Here is a 22,890-nt window from a genome sequence, read left to right as displayed (position 1 = left end):
GTAGTAGGTAGCATATGTTTTTATAAATTAATATATGGGTCCCTGCTTTATTATGCCAACATCTGAATGGCAGAGGTAAACTCAGGATCCAGAAATCTATGTAAACAATTTGGATTTATGTATCAGGTAAAATTAAGTCCTGGAAACTACTGTGCCAGGAATGAATTAGAGAACAAGCTTTGAAAGTGCTAAGGCAGCTGGCAGGGACTGGCATCCTTTACAAGAAAACAATCACTTTGTTTAATTAGAAAAATGTGTGCTGCTTGGACTCAGCCAGGTGTGAGTTTTAAGACTAGCCACTCTTGTGTTTGTCTCTTCTGATGCGCCAGGACACCCCAGTAGTCCTATTCCCATCCTTCCCTGGACACAGCAGCTCCTTGGAGACTGGTGCTGCCCCCCAGGACTTCCTGTTGGCCACAATCCCTTCTCACCTTAGCCTGGCCCTTCATCAGCACGATGTTGGAGATGACTGAAGCCTGGAGGCCCCCAGATGGCTGCACGAGCTGAGCTGTGCTCAGGGACCGTGTTGGTCTCGAAGTTCCCTGCAACAAGGAACCAGAGTAGGCAGAAGATTAGCCACATAGGACAGCAGCACATGCCTCACAAGGAAGGGGAAAAGCCCAGCCAAAGAGAGGAACCAAGTCCTCTTTCTCCTAAGGGCAGGCAGCGTAACAACCAGAATGTGGTTAGTGGGGTGTGGGTAGGATTATGGTGGGGAGGGACTTCCTTGGTTCTAGGAGCCTGCTTTGCTGAGCCTGATGTAGATGAGCAGCCAAAAGGCTCACTAAGGTTTATCAAGGAAGTAGGGCCCAGGTTAACATCACAGAACACGCTGCCTCCAGGACAAGTCCTCATAAGCCAGGTCTCAGGCAGAATTTGGGAAGCCAGCTACCAAGAACGCCCTGAGACTATGTTCAATCCAAGACACATTTACTGAGAACTCCCCTTGTGCCAGGCAGGAGGTGGTGGGCAAGGGGGCGGAGCCCAAAGACTTCAAAACTCAGAATGTAATTTTGGGGTAGGCAGACAGGCTTAACTATTCATGAATGAGAACCAGAGCTATGTGCCACAGGAAGCCGCCCTGCAGAGGGGAAATACGGCTTAGTGGTGAGAGCTTAGACTTGGGAACCCCATTGTCTGGGTTCTTCTGACTCTGCCCATTATCAGCTGGCGGGTGACCTTAGCTTAGTGACTTAGCCCTCTCTGCCTCAGTTTCCTCAGCTGTAAAAGCATGGTCCTAATGGGGCCTATCTAATAGTGTCATTTTGAAGAATAAATCTATGCGAGTGCTTAAAATGGTGCCCGACACATAGCAAGTGCCTTAGAAATGTTTCTTGTCATTATTATAAATTCTAAGACTGTTTGCTACTTTCAGCATTTAATATTTGGAAAGAGTCTGGGGCTGAAGGCTGTGCTTCCTGCATGTCCACGAAAGCAGACACATCAGCTGTGAATGTGGAGGTAGCTGCTTGCTCCCTGCTCTCTGATATCGGAGATGCCGCAAGGCAGAACCAGGATCCCGGGCTGCTGACTCCCAGGCCCATGCTGTCCCCATGCCACCTGGGCAGAGGAAGCAGCAGGGCATGGGCTCTGAGCTGCCTGTGTTCATATCCATCCTGTTGCTATGAATTAGATGACCTTCGGAAGGCCACTTAACTTCTCTCAGCCTGGCCTCTGTATCTGTCAAAGGTGGATATTAACAGTACTTAGCTCTTTGGGTTGTACTCCCTTGGCTGTATAGCTGTTTGTAAAACACATCGCCTCATGCCTGGAAGGCAGCGAACATGGAATGCATGTTTTCTTTATTACTAGCATTCCCTGGATAACGAGCTGCTCTTCTCTGGATCACCCTCTCTCTTGTTGGCTTGCAGTTGCCCACACCTGATGGGCCGCTCTCTCCAAAGTCACCCAGGAAATACCCAGGTCCTGTAAGCCACTCCCTGGCCTTCCCGTCCACTGTGGATCCCACTTTCTCTTCTTCTCTCCCAGAAACAACCTTCCTCTGATAACTCCCTCTCCTCCTCCTTTGGAGGGCTGTTATGAAGACAATGTGAAATCACGCATGGACATCCGTGGTGGTTAATTTTCTGTGTCCACTTGACTGGGCCACATGGGTGCCCATATATTTAGTCAACCATTATTCTGTGTGTGTCTATGAGGGTGCTTTGGAATGAGATGAGCATTGAAATCTGTAGCCAAAGCACATCACCTGCCCTGATGCAGGTGAGCCTCATCCAATCTGCTGAAGTCCTGAATAGAGAAAAGACAGACCTCCCCTGAGTTAGAAAGCATCCTTCGTGCGTGACTGCCTTTGAACTAGGACATCAGCCTTTTTCCTGTCTTTATATTCCAACTGAAAAATCAGCCCTTCCTGGGCTTGAGCCTGCTGGCCTTTGGATGGGAACCACACCATTGGCTCTCCTGGTTCTCAGGCCTTTAGACTCTAATTAGGTCTAAACCATAGGCTTCCCTGGGTCTCCAGCTTGTCAATTCATGCTAAAGATCTTGGAACCTGCCTACCTTCATAATCCCATAAACCAACCAATTCATTATGATCAGTCTCTCGCTCTCTCTGTGTGTGTGTGTGTGTGTGTGTGTGTCTGTGTATGTGTGTCTGCGTATGTGTATGTGTGTCTATCTATACATCTCTTATTGGTTCTGTCTCCAACTAACATAGTGTCTAATTGCCTCCTAAACTTTGAGGAGTTGAGTAGAGGGAATAACTGAGTCTCCCACTCCTGTCCCCAAAACACTGCCAATCTCCTGAAGCACTCCTTCCTGGTGGAATGTAACCCCTCAATTCTCTTCAGCACAGCCTCCCAGGCAGCTACTACTGGCTGATCTTTAGCCCATCCCTGCTGGCCAGGTAGGCCTCCTGTTCCCAAGGACCTGGATCCTAGTGCATGAGGCAGCAAAGACAGGAAGCAGCTTCCCCCAGGAAGTACCCGCTAGCCCAATCCTCAGGGACCCAGCGCTGGCTGCAGATATTGGAGGGCTCCAGTGTACTCCTGTATGACCCCAGATGTGCAGAAAACCAGGGACTGGGAAAGTTCTCAGCTCAGGGTGGCACCAGGGAAGCCACCTTCTTCTAACACTAGGACACCACACTCCCAGTTTGGGAATGAAAAACACATTGACTCAAGGAAAGGAAGGGAAGAGAGAGATGAAATTCACTGAGCATCTATTATGTACTATGCAGGGAAACATTGCTTGACCGTGGAGACCCTCCTTGGGAGAGTCAGTTGGTGAGATGAAATGCTAACATAAATGACACTCACAAGACAGGCTGGGTGAGCACTGTGAGAGGAGTGCAGTTGCTTCCTGATGGGCATTTGGGAAAATGTGAAGTCCACGCCTTTGGAGAGATCAGGAGCTTTCCCAGGCAAAAGAGAACCTTAGGAAGGTTTTTGAAGGCTGGGGCAGTTTCTAGAGATAGAGATCAGAGAAGGAGGGGTGAGATGCTACAGACAGAGGGCGCTGTGTGACCAAAAGTGGCAGCGTGCAGCACAGCGTGCTTTGGCTGGGGCTGAAAGGCAAGCTGGTGGGACGTGTGTAGGGTACACTGTGCTTTATATCTGCTTAGCTCTCTGCCTGCAAGCTGACACCTGTAGTGGGAAGGTCATGGACTGAGGAGCACACAGGGCAGTTTAAATTCTGGTCCTATAGGTTTTAAGATGCATAAACCCAGCTACTCACTTTGCCAAGCCTCAGTGTCCTACTATAAAATGGGACTAACAACATATTCCTTTCTAAGCTTGTTTTAAGAATTAGAGGCAATGTTGGTAAAGCAGGTCACTAGATTATAGGAGTGAAAAGCCTTTTCGCACAGGCTTCAGAGTCATAAAGATCAGACTTGAAGTCCCAGCTGTTTCTCCTCAACAGTGTGAATGTGCATAAATCCTTTAACTTGCCCAAGCTGTAGCTCCCTCTTCTACCTCTTAGGAGTATGTGCAGATGAAATAAAGCGATCCACGCAAAGCCATAGTTCAGGGTCCCCCCGCGTGCCGTGTTCTCTACATGTTAGCTCTTAATAGCACACACGTGGCAGCAGTTGCAAGTGCCTGGCACAAGGGGGCGCTCAATGGATGACCATTTCTAATGCGGTTCTCAGCCCAGAGATGGTTGTACCTTCTTGCAGCTACTAAGCGAGACCCTCTCCTCTGTAGTTCTGCGGACAAAAAAACTACTGGGAAGGCCTCTTCAGCCACTGTTAATGTTGGGCCCCTCCCTTCTCCCCGGGAGAAACTCTTCTCTGAGTTTCCCTCCTTCCATTCTTACCGCAGCCTTTCCTGCTGGACAGTCCAATTGTTGAGAGAGGGACTTCCTGTTACTGCAGAGAGAGTAAGGCTGCCTGTCCGTGGGCGCTGCAGATTTCTTGGTCATTGGAAAATCAATTTCTCTTGTGCAATAGGGATTAACACCTAAACCAGAAGAGGAAAAACAGCAAGAAATCATTTGTGCTCTCAAAATGCAAAGTTCAACTAAGAACAATATCAGCCCCTCATTAGCCAGGGGCCAGTGTGACTGTAAACCACTTAACACCCTGTGCCAGGTGCGTGGTGGGGAGAGGTGGCCGCGGAAGACATGAGCAGCATTGTCATGATCTCCACGCATGCTGTCTGTACTGCAGGGTGCAGATGGGACTCTCACTTCCATTTTACCTCCATTCAATGCAACAAGAGTTGACAGGCATTTCCTGCAAGTCAATCAGTGTGCTGAGCTCTCAGAAACCACAATGCTGCATCAGATCCAGGCCCCGGTGTTTTCAATCCCAACCAAGGAGAGAAAGGAGGAAAACACAAAGGTTTCCGAGGACAAGCACAAACAGGCGAGACCCAGTAGGAACAGGGGCAGGGGAGATCCTATCTGACTGGCTCTTACACAGGCACTCACACACAGGGATACACACACACGGAGACAACTCTTGATTCTTTGGATATCTGCAAAAATGCAAAGCGACAGGCTTCCTCTACTTTGTGGAAACCACAGACTTCCTTTCATCCAACCGGGAACTCTACCCTACCTCCCTACCCTACCACATCCAGCTGGGAAAACCTTCACAGATGATCTGATTTAACCTGTCATTGTCTACAACAGTGCTTCCCAAATGAAATATAATGCCAGCCACCTATGTAATTAAAAAATTTTCTAGTAGCCACATTTAAAAAGTGAAAAGAAACAGGAGAGATTAATTTTAATAATATATTTTATTTGGTCTGTTATATCTATTGTTCTTTCAACATATAAATAATATGTAAAATTATTAGTGAGATATTTTACATCCTTTTCTTCTTGCACTTAGTCTTTGAATCCAGTGGGTCTTTGATACTTTCTGCACATTCTGTTTGAATAAGTCACATTTCAAGTGCTCAAGACTACATGTGGCTAATGTGTTGGGCAGTTCCGTTCTAGAGGCCAGGAGAGGGGCAGGGTTTGCCTAGTATCCTGAGGGCCAAGTGAGGCTCGAGTGAATGGACAGGCTTTTGTGAAAAATTCCCCTAGAGGAAAAGGTAAGATTGGTGGTAGTTCAAAGGAAACACAGGATGGAGCAGGGTTGGGTTTGCTTTTATTTTCAGGATGGGAAAGACTTAAGCTTATTTATAGGCTGAAGAGAGGAAGCCACTGGCCAGGGTAGCTTGAGAAGAAAAGAGGAGTGGTATCTCTGAGGGTGTGAGATCCCTAAAAGGGGATGAGGAAAGGAACAAAGACAAGGTGAAGAAGGGAGAGGTTTTGGTCCATCGGGGCCCAGAGAGTGGCTGGGGAAACCTGCCCCTGCAAGAACAGCTGCTCCCAGCAGCTGCTTCAGCGCAAGTAGGTGGCCCTCTCTGAGTTACAGGGACCAACTGCTCCCAGATGGACCAGGAGGGAGAGGAAGCCAGAAGATTCAGAAAACCACACGCTGCAAAGAGAGGACACAGAATCAAGAAAGGGGGGTGAGAGGAGAGGCTAGACATCCTCTAGTGCTAACTCTGCCTGTGCATTATATTTATCCGGAGTGTTTAATAGAAAGGTAGATTTCAGTGCTCCACCCAACCTATTGATCCATATCTGCACGTTTCGGGTCTGGGGAAACCTGTATGTTTGTCAGCCTGTGCAGATGATGCAGGTGGCTCGTCATTTGTCCTTTGGGAACCCTGCTGGAGTTACTCCTTCCTCTATCAGTGAGGAAATGGAAGCCCAGAGGGTTCCGGATCAGTGAAGAAACAGTCTGAGGCATGACCTCAGCCTCCAGAATCCCAGTCTCCCTGCATTCTCTCCATCCACAGCAGTGCAAGGGTGACCTGTGACTTGAAGGTGGCCAGTGGTGCATGCTTTGGGTTCAGAGGGAATGAGGATGAACAAACAGGCTGCCAACTTGGAATGGTTCACAGAGCAGATCAACCTGACCTCAGAGCCACAGGAGAGCCCAGTGCAACTGCTCAGGCCACACCCAGCTCCACTTGTGTGGGGGTTCCAGTTCCCACTAGACATTCAGATCTGTGGGGACGCAGACCAGAGTCAGGACAGAGTGGGTTCTCCAAAACTCTCCCTGGTCTGGGGTCGATTTCTGTGCCCACTTCGGCCCACTGTTTCAGAACATTGCTTGTTGACGCACTCCAGCCAACTAGGAAATGTACCAAAATTATCATCTCCATTGGGGGAAGTTTAAACCAGTTAAGTGTAGAGTATTAAGTGAGTTAACTGAAAGCTGGTTATTACAACCCAATGCAAAAAAAAAAAAAACAAAAAAAAATAGTTTTTGAAAGGGGAGCTATATATTGTCATGATTATATACAAAAAAGCTATATTAGAGCTACATATTGTCATGAGTTTATAAAGTTATGTTGAATTACAAAATGGAAAAATCCATGGAAAAGGGATGAATAACACCAAGCTAACTTCTTCATCTTTCATGAGGGGGACAATTTGGAAAATGTTATGTCAGATATTAATTAATTGATTAAACTTAATTGGGTAATTAATTAAAACTTAAGGAAATCAGAAGTAGAGACAATAATTAAATAAACCTTTCACAATCATTATAGCAAGAGGCCAAGAACAAACAAATGGCAAGGAATCATCAAAATAAAAAGCATAAAAAGAGCTAAGTAAAAATAAATATGATCTATAACACTGATTTCAACTATCTGAGCTTCTTTTCTTTTTTTAAAATGGAGTTTCACTCTTGTTGCCCAGGCTAGAGTGCAGTGGCACAATCTCGGCTCACCACAACCTCTGCCTCCCAGGTTTAAGTGATTCTCCTGCCTCAGCCTCCTGAGTAGCTGGGATTACAGGCGTGTGCCACCACTCCCGGCTAATTTTGTATTTTTAGTAGAGACAGGGTTTCTCTATGTTGGTCAGGCTGGTCTCGAACTCCTGACCTCAGGTGATCCACCCACCTCGGCCTCCCAAAGTGCTGGGATTACAGGCGTGAGCCACTGCGCCCGGCCTTAAGCTTCTCTTCTTAAAAAAATTGCCAAATTTGCTTTCAGGGACCTAACTGCATATCGTTTGCATGAGATTAACAAAACAAACAAAAAACGCAAAATAAAAGGAACTGATTGTAAATAAGTGATGCTAGAATAATTCTCTATTCATTTAGAAAAAAAAAATCTACCTAGATTCTTACATCATATCAAACACCAAAAATAAACTACAGATAATACAGTAAATTTGAGGGAAAAAAGATAAATCATTTACAAATTAGAAGTATATATAGTCACAGACTTAATAGTTATCTGAATGTGGAAGTAACTTTCACATTAAAAAAGAAAAGATCAGTAAACTTGATTACATAAAGATTAAAACACCTTAATGTTAAAAAATTAAAATAAAAGCAACGAACTGGAGAAAGTATTTTCAACAAGTATGACGTCAAATATTAATTTAACCAAGAGGCTTTTTATAAATTAATGATAAAAAGATGATTATTTCAGTAAAGAATAGGCAAACTCACCAAAAACAAAATAAATAAATGAAGGAATGTTTAACTTCACCTGTATGAATGTTTAACTTCACCTCTTTTCGGGGGGGCAGGACAGGCTCTCACTCTGTTGCCCAGACCAGAGTGCAGTGGCACAATCATGGCTTACTGCAGCCTCAACCTCCCAGGCTCAAGGGATCCTCCTACCAGCTGGGACCTCAGGTACGAGCCATCATGCCTAGTGGGTTTTCTTTTTTTAAAAAAATTTTTTGTAGAGACATGGTTTCACTATATTGTCCAGGCTGATCTCAAACTCCTGGGTTCAAGCGATCCTCCTGCCTCAGCCTCCCAAAGGGCTAGAATGACAGGCAGAAGCTGTGGCAGCCAGCCTAGGTACTTTTTTTTTCCATCTATTTTTATCAGTGTATCAATCAGGGTTTGGGAAGAAACAAAAGGCACACTCAGTTGGGATTCTGAGAATTGGGTAAAGGAGCCATACACAGAGGGGTGGGCCGGGTTAGAAAAATAACGAGGCCTATTGAGGTACCAGACACTGTTACCACCCCAGGCTTGAAGGAGTAAGGTGGGGAAATGGTGTTACCAGAGCCCAGTGGGCACTGGAACCGACAGGCCACCCTAACACAATTTACTGTCATAGAGGGGCACAGCCACCACCAGCACTGCAGCACCAAGGTGGGGGAGCAGAGGAAGAAACACCCTGGTGGCTCTCTTCCCCCTGCCAGTCCTCCATTGATGCCTGTCATTGACTGAACTCAATCAGAAGCCAGAGAGCCAGGGAGCCCTGGGGATGCCAGGGAGCCAGGGAGCTCTGCGGGGTTCAGCTCCCAGGGGGCAAGAGGGCCTGGCTTCAGGGGCACGTGGCCTGCACAGTCACCTGGGGCCCTGTGATTGAAGAATCCCAACCTGGTTCAAAGATTTTCTTCTACCTTTTTGAAATTATTCATATATTTTTTGAACAGCAATCGTGCCTTTTCATTTTACAGTGAGTCCTACCAATTGTATAGCTGGTCTTGGCTGCAAAACAAAACAGTAAAAAAGCAAAGAATGGGTGAGGGAGAAAGGGAAAGGAGAAAAACCTGTAAATCTGTAAATTGCTGTAAAGCAAATATTTATCAAAAATCATAATCCCATGTGAGCTATGATTGAAGAAATAGGTATTCATATATATTATTGAAAGAATATTAGCTACTGAAATTTGGCAATACAGATAAAAAGCCTTAAACTACATCTACCGTTTAACCCCAAATTCCATTTCTAGAAAATTATGCTAGAATAAGTAAAAATTGATGATAAAAAAGCAAGTAACTTTTTAAAAATATTTTTATTTCCAATAATAGGAAATCACTAAGGATGGTGCATCATACAGCAGAATCATGTGAGACTCAGAGGGGACTTGCCCAAGATCACATAGGTCACTAGTTCTGGAAGCGGGACCCAGATCCAAGTGCCTTAGCTCCCAAATGTGAGCTCTTAACCAGGCCACTGCCTTCTGTATTTTCTTTGAAAGATCATCACAAACTCAGACAAAATCTCATGTACCTATTCAGCAACTTGATTAGACTAGTGAAAACCTGAGAATGACTTAAATACCTAATAACAGGGATTTGGTTAAGTAGATTTTATAAATATCTAATAATAGGGAGTTGGTTAACTAGATTTCATAAATTCATATAATAAAATACCATGGATCCACTAAAAAATGGTGTTTTCAAGAGTTTCTGATGACCTGAAATAGTTATATATAAATAAATGCGTGTGTGAAGTTTTTTATAGCATATGTAGGCATAGAAGGGAAATAACTGAATATGTTAACATAGATGATCTCTAATATTATGATTTGGTGTGATTTTAATTTCTTCAGGTTTTTCTGTATTATTGCATTCTTCACATTTTCTTGACTTTGTACTAGCCATCTTCTATTTTCAGCTAATAAAAATCATGAGCTCTTCCAACCTCAACTTCCATCATATTGCAGCTAAGAGACAGAAGCCTTCCCAAGACCAAGGAGCATGTTAGGAGACACAGCAGGAGTAAAGCCCGGTCTCTTCTTCCCCACACCCAGGTCTTTCCAGCATGGCACTTGGAGCCATGAGGAGAGCTGGCTAGACAACACAGAACTCTGGCTAGCCAGAGCATGCACACACTATGAAGCTGAGCAGACTCCAATGCTAGTTTACTCCAACTGGACCAGAAGAGAGCCGCTATCCTCCCAATAGTCCTGCTATCCAGGAACAGCTGAGCTCTGTTCCTGAAGACATGTTGGGAAGACACTTACTGGTTGAGTTGCTGCGTGCCCTTTGGTGGCAGGCTTTAGGAAACAGGAAGTTACTACTTTGTGCTTCTAGTTTTCCAGGCTTTTCTCGAGAGGAAGCTGTGGAAGATTCCTGCAAAACAATTGCCGTCTTTTTATTCAGCAAGTTAGAATAGAAAACTTGTGCTTAGCAAAATTGGATTTTGACACTGACCATAGAAGTACTCAGATTATCTGTCTCCCCTACTGAAATGATAAGTACTATAAGAGCAGGGATTTAGAATCACCATCATCCTTTCACTCATAGACATACATTCATTTGTTTAATTACAAATATTGAATGAATAGATTACATTAATAGTAAACTAATGCGACACAAATTGAATGAATCCTTCAGCTATTAGATGTCAAGTTCTTTGTTAGACATTGTGCACATAGCTGTGACCAAGACAGACAAGGATGTTGATCTTGGAGAAAATGCATTTTAGTGAAAGATGACTGACAATAAACAAGCAAAATAAAGGTGAAAGATAATTACAGAGAATGATAAGTGCTCTGAAGAAAAGAACTAGAGAGCAATGTGGATAGGGAGCCTGGAAGGTATGTTTTAGAGAGAAAGATCGAGCAAGTTACATTGTTCTGGCATACCTGGCACATAACAGGCACTTGCAACTATTTGCGGAATGAATGTTATATAAATGGATTTCTTAATATTGAACTATCCATGCATTATTAAGGGTATTATGATTTTACTATATTGCTTATTACTATATGCAAATATTTAATTTAGGGCTTTTAAAAATCAATATTGTTAAACTTGCTTATGGTTCTCTTATCCTTTTTCTACCTTGCTGTATCAATCAAATATATATATGTTAATTTATTATATATCTCTCCTCATCCTGGAATTTTAGGGATGGGTGTAGGGATATGGGCTGATAATGAGGATGACGGTATTAATTATTTTATCTTTCTGAAAGTTTTCTGATTGTTATTCTATTTTATAACTTTGTTATCCACAATGATCTTGACTTAATTCTTGAGTTATATTGGTTTTATTACTCACTACCATAATCCTTGTGTGTGTGTGCACATGTTGTGTGTGCGTATATGCACAAATATATATATATAGAGAGAGAGAGAGAGAGCGAGTGACAGAGAGAGAGAGAGAGAGCGCGTGCGCGAGTGACAGAGAGAGAGCAGGTCAGGACAGGGTGGTGCTCTGTTGTCTGGCTGGAGTACAGTGGTGTGATCTCGGCTCACTGCAGCCTTGACCTCCTGGGCTCCAGAGATCCTCCCACTCAGCCTCCTGAGTAGCTGGTACTACAGATGCATGCCAGCATGCCCAGCTAGTTTATGTATTTTTTGTAGAGACGGAGTTTCATCATGTTGCCCAGGCTGATCTCAAACTCCTGGGCTCAAGTGATCCTCCCACCTCAGCCTCCCAAAGTGTAAGGATTACAGGCGTGAGTCATCGTGACTAGACAATCAAATTTTCTTTGCTCTCTTTTTATACTAATAATTTAGAAAATATTTTATAGTATTGAGTATGTAAGCAGTATATTAAACAACATACTTGGACTCATTTCCATACCAGGGTCAGTAATGAAACAGAAAACATGACTCTCCCTCATCTAAGATGAGATTTTGAGACAACTTTTACTTTCTTCCCTCTCCTCATCCTGAGATTTTAGGGATGGGTATAGGGATAGAGACTGATAATGAGGATGATGGTATTAATTACTTTATTTCTCTTCCTGAAGCTGTTTTCTGGTTATTCTATTTTGTAACTTTGTTAGCCACAATGATCTTCACTTAACTCTTGAGTTATATTGGTTTTATTACTCTACCATAATTCTTGTATGTGTGTGCACATGCTCTGTGTGTGTGTACATCTGTGTGTGTGTCTGTGTGTGTGTTTTCTTTCAGGAAAGCTCTCTGAATATCTGCATGTCTAGGGATGTCTTTCTGTGGCTGTCACATGTGAATGATTGGCTGAGTATAGAATCTTTGGATATTGGTTACTCAACTTGGAAACTAGATGGCTTAAATGCTTTCTGGGACTTAGTGTTTCAGGGTATAGTTTGTTGGAGACACTGACACTCTATTATAACTCTATCCTAACTGACTTAACTGCATTTCTTAGAAGCCAGGCTTAGCAATGCCTGGTTAATTTCATGTGCCAAGGGTTTGCAGAACCCAGCACCTGGTGCATTTTCCAGAGCAGAGGGAGGATCTATGCTTGCCTCTCGCTGTGTGCCAAATAACCCACCCTCAGCTCCAGCCCCTGCCACTGTGAGCTAGTAGGTATTGAGGGGCTCTGCTGGAATCCCTCATTCCCTTGGCTTTTCCCTCTTATGTGGTCAATGGCAGGCTAATGAGCCCTTCCCTCAATCCAATCTCACCTGCACTTTGTCGTGCAGAAAGTTCTCATGAGTTCCAGAATGTGTTGGCCCCTTTCCATGGTTTCCTGTTTCTGACATGCATTTCTCCCTATTTGTATATTCCTTTTGAATTTTGATAGAAATTTCTAACAGGTGGAGGAGTTAATCAAGTGTACTCTGTCGCCAACTGGAGCCAGAAGTCCACTCAGTCTTTTTGAAAAAGATTGTTTCCAGTTCTGACACAAGGGGATCCTGCAAGAAACCACATGTCAATTCCCTTTTATTTCTTAAACAAGTCAATGTTTAAAACTAGAGAACTCATCCTGAAGGACTCCTTTTCAGCAGCAGATGGTGCTATATTAACTTGGACAAAATTACCTTCTATAACCAGGCTAACCAGGGAATTCTTTTAAAGGGGAGAAAGCAGTGACTATAGAGAAGGTAGTTGAGTTCAGTTGAATTCTTGAGACTCTGTATTGCCAGAACTTAGCATAATGAGTCGTTCTCTGAATTCAATGCTTCATAAAACACAATATGCAAAAGATATTTCTTAGTTACAGTAGATTGAGAAGGTAATGTCCTGATTCTAATTTCAAGACCTCCCTCTGGCACTGAGAAGTGAAAACTTCTTTATGTAATCCAGTAAGACTATGAAAGTAAAAAATAAAATGTGATTTTATTAATTTTTTCGGGTCCATTGAGCATAAGGAAGCCTAGTAAAACAGCCAGTTGGTCTACTTATCCATGAGGAGCAAGCCCTATGTGCAAAGGATCTTTGAAATTTGTATTTTATCTCAAATATCTAGCTGCATGAGCGTAAATAAGTAAATGATGTGTACACAATACATCGAATACTAAGCACCTTTAAAAATGTAGAGTCTGGGTGCGGTGGCTCACACCTGTAATCCCTGCACTTTGGGAGGCCAAATTGGGGGGTTCACTGGAGTTCAGGAGTTCAAGGAGTTCAAGACCACCCTGGCCAACATGGCAAAACCCTGTCTCTACTAAAAATACAAAAAAACTAGCCGGCATGTTGGCATGCACCTGTGGTCCCAGCTACTTGGGAGGCTGAGGCAGGAGAATCACATAAACCTGGGAGGCAGAGGTTGCAGTGAACCAAGATCCTGCCACTGTACTTCAGCCTGGGTGACAGAGCGAGACTCTGTCTCAAAAAAAAAAAAAAAAAAAGTTTGTAAAGAGTTGTGACATAGGTATACCTGTGTTATCATAGTAAGTTAAAAAAAGATATTATCTAATGATGATGACTGACTACAATCATGTAAAATATACATAGAAAAAGGGCAAAAAGGCTGGAAATAAGTATACCAAAACAGTAACACTCATTCATTCAACAAATGTTTATTAAGCACTTACTCTGTACCAGGCACTGTTCCAAGTACTGAGGATGTGACAGCAGACATGAAACACAAGGTCTTGCTCTCATGAATTAGCAAGAGTGGGTTTGGGTGATGGGATTATGAATACTATTTTTTCACATGTTTCTGTATTTTCTATATTTTCCATAGAGAGAATATACTACTTTTAGAATCAAACCAAAAATAAATGATTACTTTTACATTTATTTCAATTGTCACATTGGTAGACTTAAAGCCTGCTTATTTTTAAACATCTTTCTTTTAATCCTCTTTGTAAGTCCTGAGTCCAAGGCACAGTTGGAAATTGCCTGGCCTGTAAAGCCAATTGATGGCAGGAGAATCATAGGAAGTGGAGCCTCTCCCTGCCCCGCCCACCCAGATTAGCTGTAAATACTTAATGCCGTGTTAGAGGGAAAGCTTTCTCTGGGGGTTTCAATGTTGGCTGTAGAAGGCCTTATCCAAAAGACACTGAACCGACTGGGTCCCCACTTGGCCCCTCAGTTCTCCACATTTCAGTGGCTCAGTCTCTTCTTTCCATGGCACCTGGGAACAGCAATCTCAGTTTCCACATGCAGGGAGGTGTAGCCTCTTGTGCATGCGCAAGGCTATGCAGATGAGTCCTTCTCCTTCCTTCACAAGTCTGTATCCTCCAACCAAAGCCATCTCAGACACAGATGACAGAAGGTTGTTCCCTTCCCACTGCCATGCAGCCAGTCTCTGAAGTAGCTGGAGGCTCCAGTAAGGTGTATCTCACTAGGCTATAATCAAGTTCTTTGACAGTTTTGTGAAATTGATGTGCTTCACTTCAACATGGCCGTGGTGTGAAGTGGCTCATTAGATGGCTACTATAGGAGAGAATAGAAATGTTCTATCTCGACCCAAGTTGAGGTCTAAGTAGCAATTTCCTATGAAACACATATAAAGCCATATGACTCCTAAAGGTTCCTGAAACAGAGGCAGTGCACACATTTTTGGACCTTCTGTTTTCTCGACACCAACAAGGGTCTAGTACTCATCTATACTCTGGGACTATTTCAAGTTATTGTTCAAGCTAAACAGTTTCTTCATCAGAAATGAGTCGTAGGGAAAGGGTCATGAGACCAGCAGCACTAACTCTCTCATGACTCTGAGCTTGTCAATTATCTGGGCTCAGTTTCCTCTTTAGTAAAGCTAAGGGGTGAACTAAACAATCTCTAAAATCACTTTCAGCTCTTTACTTTTAATAGTAACTGATGGTTATGTTTAAAGGGCACCTCTCTCAAATGATCACATGTCAGAACATCTTACATAAGAACAAAGCATCTGGTCTCTCTCTGGCAAGTATGTCCTGGGTGGAGAGGTTTCTCATCAAAGGATTCTCTGTAGGAGCCCCACGAACGTCTGCACAGTGTGACTCCCTCCCAGCACACAGAACAGAACTCTTCTGTTTCTGCTCTCAAGGTGGGGCTGCTGTCAGAGCTGAGGATTTGTCATCGAGGTCAGGGGCTGTCAAAATCATTTCTAAACACATTTTCCCTATTCTCATCAGAGACTGTGGCCCTGGGCAGAGGTTCTGTGGGTGATACACCCCGTAATTACCTGGGTAGCAGTCTCTCCATCTGCCAGTCCCCATGGCAACTGAGCGAGAAATGGGGTCAACTGTCCAGAGAACTCTTTAAATATTTTTTCCAAAGTTAGGATTGGTCATGTGACTGCTAGGGCTAAACAGTCAACTCCAAGAAATGGGGAAAAAAACAAAAACAAACAAGATTCTCATGCAACCAAGGAATGGACCCAGAATGAAGATGGAGAATTCTGGGGCATTGTGTCCTGCAAACAAGGTGATTCCAAAGCCTAAACTTCTCCCCAAAGATCATGACAATTCCATTGCTCTGTTAGGAGTGTTTATTTTTTATGTAGCCAGCCCTGGCTGACATCACTGGCATTACTGACAGAAGCCTGATGCTTCTGGAGTTGGCTGACTGCATTCCCCTTCCATCCAAACCTTACCATTTTCTCTTTGAACTCAGATGCCATAGCTGCTCCAGTCTAAGAGAACCACAAAATAGAATTCAACTGTCCTCCTGATTGAGGCTTATTTCCTGTGGTTGAATTGATCATACGGCTACAGGCTTTGATCCTCCAGTCATGAGGATAAACAAGTAGGCCCCAGCAGATTGGTTCTGGGATGGCCACATGTCATGTGGGATGATGAGGCCACAGATCTCCTGATATGGAGGGGAAGGTTGGGAACCAGAAATCTAAAACTTCTCAAGTTCTTACTCTCCGACCCCTGCATGACTGCAGTTCCCATGTCCTTATAATCTTACCTTCTCAACCTTCCCCAGCACACCCATTCCCACTGCCAATGGCATAGCTCAGGATATTTGTTTTAGATTGGACTATTATTAATACAATGCCCTAGGGGGTATAGAAAAACTATTTTAAAAATATATTTTACAAATAGTGCTGGGACAACCAGATATTCACATGCAAAAGAGTGAAGCTGGACTCCTCTATCACACCATACACAAAAAGGACCTCAAAATAGATCATAGATCTATATGTGAGAGCTAATACTATAAAAGTCTTAAAGAAAATATAGGAGTAAATCTTGGGTTGGGTTAGGGAGAGGCTTCTTCAATACGATACAAAAAGCACAAATGACAAAAGATAAATGAGCTTCATCAAAATTTAAAACTTTTGTGCCTCAAAGGACACCATCAAGAAAGTGAAAAAACAACCTACAGAAATGGAGAAAATATTTGCAAATCATATATCTGATAAGGGACTTGTGTATCTAGAGTATACAAAGGATGCTTACCACTCAAAAATAAAAAGACAAATAACCTAATTTTTATAAATAGGCAAAAAATGTGAATAGACATTTTTTCAAATGATATACAAGAGACTAGAAGCACATAAAAAGATATTCAACATCATTAGCCATCAAGGAAATGCAAATCAAAACCACAATGAGATACCACTCGCATGCACTAGGATGGCTATAATCACAACCACTTTATACCTGCTAGTGTAAGGAGGATATGAGAAATTGGAATGCTCTTACATTGATGATGGAAATGTAAAATGGAGCAGGGGGTTTGGAAAACAGTGTCAGTTTTTCAAAAAGTTAAGTATAGAGTTACCATATGATGCAGCAGTTCCATTCCTAGGTATATACCCAAGGGAAATGAAAACATAAAACCACACAAAAACTTGTACAAAAAAGTTCAAAGCAGCATTATTCATGATATCCAGAACATAGAAACAACCTGTGTCCATTACCTGATAAATGGATGAATAAAATGGAATATATCCATATAATAGAAGATTGCCAATTAAAATGAATGAACTGATACATGCTACAACATGGATGAGTCTTGAAAACATTAAATGAAACGAAAGAAGCCAGTCACGAGAGACCACATATTGTATAATTCTATTTATATTATGTCCAGAATAAGCAAATCTATAGATAGAAAGTGGATTAGTGGGTAATTAGGGATCGGGCAGGAATGAGGGGTATAAGGAGTAACAGCTAATGGGCAGGAGGTTTCTTTTTCGGGGGACAAAAATGTTCTAAAACTAGACAGTGGTGTGGTTGTACAACTCTGTAAATATACTAAAAACCATTTAACATTACACTTTAAATGGTTTAATTGTGTGGTATGTGAGTTAATATCTTAATAAAACCATTAAAAAATAGAATATTCACTCATCTATTCCTAATTTCCCTGCCTTTAATCTTTTCTCCCTTAAATTCCTCTGCACCTTGTTGCCAGCATAATTTTATAAAAATGCAAATGCTACCCATGAAACTTTCTGATTAAAACTAATGGCTCTGTCTTTCACGAATTCAAGTCCAAATCCAAACCCCTTGGTATGTCATTCAACATCCCTTCTCCTCTGACACTACCCAGATAGCCCCAAATCTCCATTGCACTTTGTTAGTCCACTTCCTACCAGTGAATCCTGGTATTTCCTGCTGTTTGTATAGTTACCCATCCATTCTCTCCTTCATCCTTCTGGAATCAATTTAGAATTGATTTACAGAACCTTTGTAGTGATGTCCCCAGACAAATAGCTGTCTCCTGAGAAAACCATGGACTTCTCCACCAATCAGACCCTAGGAAGGATTAAAATATCCATAGTTGTTTACAGTTGTTTTCAAACCTGATAGGACCAGTTTTTCATTGCTCTTCATCTTGACTCATCTTACGTGTTTTTCCAAACACATTACAGCATTATGTTACTAAGAAATTATTTCTGTTAATAATTTGGGAGAAGTTCCTCTTGAAAAAAAACTGTAGGTAATATTAAAATAATTGGCTATTTTTTTCCAGAAACAGTGTCTATATTTTTATTTACTTAATAGAAATGACTCTCAGTAGAGTTTCCATTATGCTAGTTCCAGTGGGATTTTTGAAAGGAGTAAGCAAAGTAATATATGCAATGACTATCAAGAGCCCTAAGAATCTAGTTAGTCTACAAGCAGTGCCAAGCTATTTTCCAAATATTCCTCAGTTCTGTCGCTTTCTTTTTATATTCTAGAAATTTATTATAGAAACTAACTGGACAAGGTGCACAAAGATGTCTATACAAAGATGTTCATCATCACATTGTTTGTAATAGAAAACATGGAGGGGGACATTCAATGATAGGAGAATAACTAAAGGTGTCATGACAGGAGACTTCTATGTCTGGTAGTACAGTGGATCCTTCTGCTAAATAAAAGGAAAAGAGCCAAGGTTGGAGGATTGCTTGAGGCCAGGAGTTCAAGACCAGTCTGGGCAACAAAGTGAGATCCATCTCTACAAAGTTTTTAAAAATTTTGCCAGTGTGGTGGTACGAACCTGTAGTACCAGCTACTTGGGAGGCTGAAGTGGGAGGATCACTTGAGCCCAAGAGGTTGAGATTGCAGTGAGGTATGATCACACCACTGCATCCCAGCCCAGTCAACAGAGAGAGACCCTGTCTCTAGAAACACAAAAACAAAAACAAGTAGAAAGGTTGCATGGGATGTAAATGTATCAACAAAATAGCAAATGGGTAAGGAATACCTGGAGGCCAAAAAGTAAATAAAAGCTGTACCATAGTTTTTCTGAGAAACAAGCAGAGCCCAGAAGCTGGAGGTTGCTCTGAGATAATTTGATGAACTGGTTGAACTTGAACTTTGTCTTTCATAGCCTTATGGGATATTGGGAAGAGAAGAGAAATACCAGTCCCTTCCTAGGAAAGAGAGTTTAACAGGATACTTCTCTTGGATAAAAAGGGAGCCCCAAAGGATTATATCTTCATTTTAAGTTTGAATTGGAAATAAATTAATCCCCTCCCTCAGGAAATGCATAAAAACAATTAATCTGGAAATGACCCTGAATGGAAGGAGGAAAATCTTCCCCCCAGAGGAATAATCATTACCAGATGGCCTTTTCAAGAGTTGGCAACCCTAATTAATACATATGGACATCTTTTTAAAGCCTCTAGATAAGAATTTAGTTTAAAATGATTCCAGGCTGGTGGTGCCCCAATACCTGGCAGAAACAAATTTGAATCTTCTCTGCAGGAACCAGCTTTGACTTCAGTCACAAAACTCCCCACAAGATGACAAAACATATGAGCTGTCACAGAAAAAAAAATCAAAGCAAAATAAAACATAAGATAAAACACACATTGAAACAAGGTCCTAGGTCAAGTGTGGTGGCTCCCACCTGTAATCGCAGCACTTTGAGAGGCTGAGGTGGGCAGATCACTTGAGGCCAAGAGCTTGAGACAACCTGACCAACACGGTGAAGCCCCATCTCTATTTAAAATAAAAAAGAAATAAAATTAGCCAGGAGTGGTGGCTCATGCCTGTAATCCCAGCTACTCGTGAGGCTGAGGCATGAGAATCACTTGAACTCAGGAGGCAGAGGTTGCAGTGAGCCGAGATCACGTCACTGCACTCCAACCTGGGCGACACAGCAAGACTTTGTCTCAAAACAAAAAACAAGATTCTAAGAGAGAGAACTACAAGGAGCAACACACCATAATCAGACCTGCGAAGACTTCCAATTATGGAGTGAGCAGACACAGAATACAATACATATTTAATATTTTTAAAACAAAAAAGAAGTGACTGAGAAATTTGAGAAGAGAGAAAATAAGGCTTCCCAGCCAACTTGAAAAAGAAGCACAAAATTTAAAAAAATTATTCATATTAAAAATTAAATAGATGGATGAAAAGTGTATTAGACAGTGTTAAAGAGAGGATGAAAGAATTGGAATATATATCTAACAAAATACTCAGATGGCAACATAAAGAAAACATAAAAGAGAGGTAAAGAAACATGTAAGATAGAGTGACAAAGCCTAACATCTAATCAGTGTTCCACAAGAAGGGAATAGGAATAATAAGGTAGAATTATACTTCACGTAATTATTAAAAATCTTTCAGTCCTGAAGAAATGCATCAATTCATGAAACCCAACAAATCCCAAATAAGATAAATTAAAAAAGCATATCTAGATAGTTCTTAGCAAAACTGCAAAACACTAAAACATATAGAAGATTTTAAAACAGCAGCCAGAGAGAAAAGACAGATTAACTTCAAAAGGGCAAAAATCAAACTTAAAGCTCATTTCTCAACAGCAATTGTATAAGTCATATAGCAGTGTAATGATTAGTTCAGTGTAATCATCAACATAGAATTGTATACCAGCTAAAATATCTTCAAAAATGAGTAAAATAAAGGTCTTTACAGACAGAAAAAAAAAATCCCAAGGGAGTTTGCCACCAATATACTCTCACTAAAAGAAATTCCAAAAATATTTTTTTCTTTAGAAAGAAGAGAAGTGACCCAAGATGAAGGCCTGTGAGGCAAAGAATGATGATTAAAAGAAAGAGTTGATATTCAGGTAAATCTAAACAAAAAGTGACTGAAGTAATAATAATATGTTATGGTTTTACAAATAAAAATGGAGCAATTTACCTATTAACAAAAGGATATGAACCAGGAAAACATACTATTGGGGTGAAAATATTCAATGGTTTTTCTGTTATTCAGGAAGAGGGTAAAAGTAAAAATTAATAACTTTTGCACTTTGAAAACCTTCATATACATGCCAAATTTTCTGAGTTCACCATAAAATCACAGAAATAGGTCCAGGTGCGGTGGCTTATGTCTGTCTGTAATCCCAGCACTTTGGGATGCAGAAGCGGGCAGATCACTTGAGCTCAGGAGTTCAAGACCAGCCTGGGCAACATGGCAAAACCCCAACTCTACTAAAAATACAAAAATTAGCAAGGTGTGGTGGTGGGCGCCTGTAATCCCAGCCACTTGGGAGGCTGAGGCAGGAGAACGGCTTGAACCCAGGGGGTGGAGTTTGCCGTGAATGGAGACTGCACCACTGCGCTCCAGCCTGGGTGATAGAGTGAGACTCTGCCTCAAAAAAAAAAAAAAAAAAAGAAAGAAAGAAAAAAAATCACAGAAATAGAATTAGAAACAGAATCAATAGAGGAGGAGAAAGGGAATGAGAAAATATAATCAATAAAAAGATAAGAAAGCAGAGAATAAAACAGGGAAAATGGAATAAGTATTAAACATGAAATAATTTTACTTATAATTTAAGAGGTTAAATATAATTTTAAAGATAAATATAATTTTAAAGATAATTTTTAATAATTTTAAATATAATAATAAAAATAATTTTAAAGAGATTCATCTAAGAAGCAAAGATTGTCAAGACAGATTTACATTGTAAATCCAACCATAAACCATTTAAGAAATATACAGGTAAAATAAAAGAAGACAAACAGTTCAAAAAGAAAAAGTCATTCACATACACATTCACACATACATAAGTAGGTGTGTGTGTAGTTGAAAACAAAAGAATAAAAACTAGATAGAAGTAGATAGATACAGACATAGACAGATAGGTGGGTAGATAGCTCAGACAACTGCTAATAAAATTAAAGCTAGTACCACTTTATAGACAAGGTAGATTCAAACAAAAATAATAGAGATAAACTCAGGATATAAATTATAACTGCTTTCAATCATAAAGAATATATAACAATTCTAAATGTTCGCACCTTATAACATAGCCTCATAATGCTGAAATAACTAAAAGGAAAATCTAGCATGAGATTTTTAACCGACTCCTTAAGAAACTGATAGATCAAGCAGACAAAAAGCAGTAAGGTTAATAGCTATATACAATGTCTCTTTAAACATAAACAAAATATGAAAATAATCTTATACGGGGTCATCAAATAATTCTCAACAATTCTGAATAACTGGAATGACCCACTCCATGCTTTCTGACAACACCACAATTAATTATAAGGCACTTAAAAATGTTAACTGGGGAGAGAGAAAACAGATGAGTTGCTGCTAGAGGTTAAGGATGGTGGGAAGAGGGGTGGGGTGTGATTCTGAAGGGTGGCATTAGGGAGATCTTAGTGGCGAGGGAGCACTTTGGTATCTTCGCTGAAGTAGAGGTTACAAGTGATAAAATAGCATAGAACTACACACACACCATAGCAATGTCAAATTTGTGGTTTTGATGTTTTACTATAGTTATGTAAGAGGGAACCAATGGGGAAAACTGGGTGAAGGGTACATGAGATTTCTCTGTACTATCTTTGCAACTTCTTGTGAATATGTAGTTACTCGAAAAGAAAAAGGTTTTGATTTTTGTCTTCGAGGTAACTGGAAAATAACTACATATTTGAAAATCAAGAAACATACCTCCAAATAACTCATGGGTCAAAGAAGAAATCATACTGGAAATTTAAAGGCATTTAGAACTGAATGATAATAAAATTTTACATATTAAATCTTGTGGAATGCAGCTAAAGATAAAACAGTGCTTACAGGAAAAGTTATCTCAAGTGCTTATATTAAAAAGGAAGAAAAGCTGAAAATAATGGGCTAATCATCAAAGAAAGTAGAGAAAACGATAAAGATATGGACAAAATTTATTAAATAAAAAT

General features: G+C 41.1%; 1 protein-coding gene across 16 annotated transcripts in view, besides 1 other annotated feature; it reads right to left on the bottom strand.

The window, feature by feature from the left end:
* Positions 1 to 22,890, bottom strand: part of IL16 (interleukin 16) — a 131,347-nt gene that overhangs the window by 43,979 nt on the left and 64,478 nt on the right. For 14 of the 16 annotated variants that reach the window (NR_148035.2, XM_047432447.1, XM_047432448.1 and 11 more), the window contains 3 exons: positions 10,200 to 10,308; positions 4,279 to 4,421; positions 432 to 542 (listed from right to left, as the gene is read on the bottom strand). Coding sequence is in view for 14 of the 16 variants with exons in the window: in XM_047432447.1 (XP_047288403.1) it covers positions 432 to 542; positions 4,279 to 4,421; positions 10,200 to 10,308 (363 nt within the window). In the remaining 2 variants the exon portion in view is untranslated. Of the gene's footprint in view, positions 1 to 431; positions 543 to 3,278; positions 3,427 to 4,278; positions 4,422 to 10,199; positions 10,309 to 22,890 lie in introns of those variants that run through there. The other 2 variants (NM_001352685.2, XM_047432454.1) reach the window with 2 other exon arrangements.
* Positions 4,712 to 4,781: an enhancer, noted in NCBI's record as "active region_9949". NCBI's record gives its function as "activates an Ori minimal core promoter by ATAC-STARR-seq in GM12878 lymphoblastoid cells {active_cell/tissue: GM12878}" and the evidence as "EXISTENCE:reporter gene assay evidence [ECO:0000049][PMID:35858748]".

The sequence above is a fragment of the Homo sapiens genome, chromosome 15, assembly GCF_000001405.40.
Source record: "Homo sapiens chromosome 15, GRCh38.p14 Primary Assembly".
Classification (NCBI taxonomy): domain Eukaryota; kingdom Metazoa; phylum Chordata; class Mammalia; order Primates; family Hominidae; genus Homo; species Homo sapiens.
The sequence above is the reverse complement of the archived record's forward strand: the minus strand, read 5'-3'. Positions and strand labels throughout refer to the sequence as shown.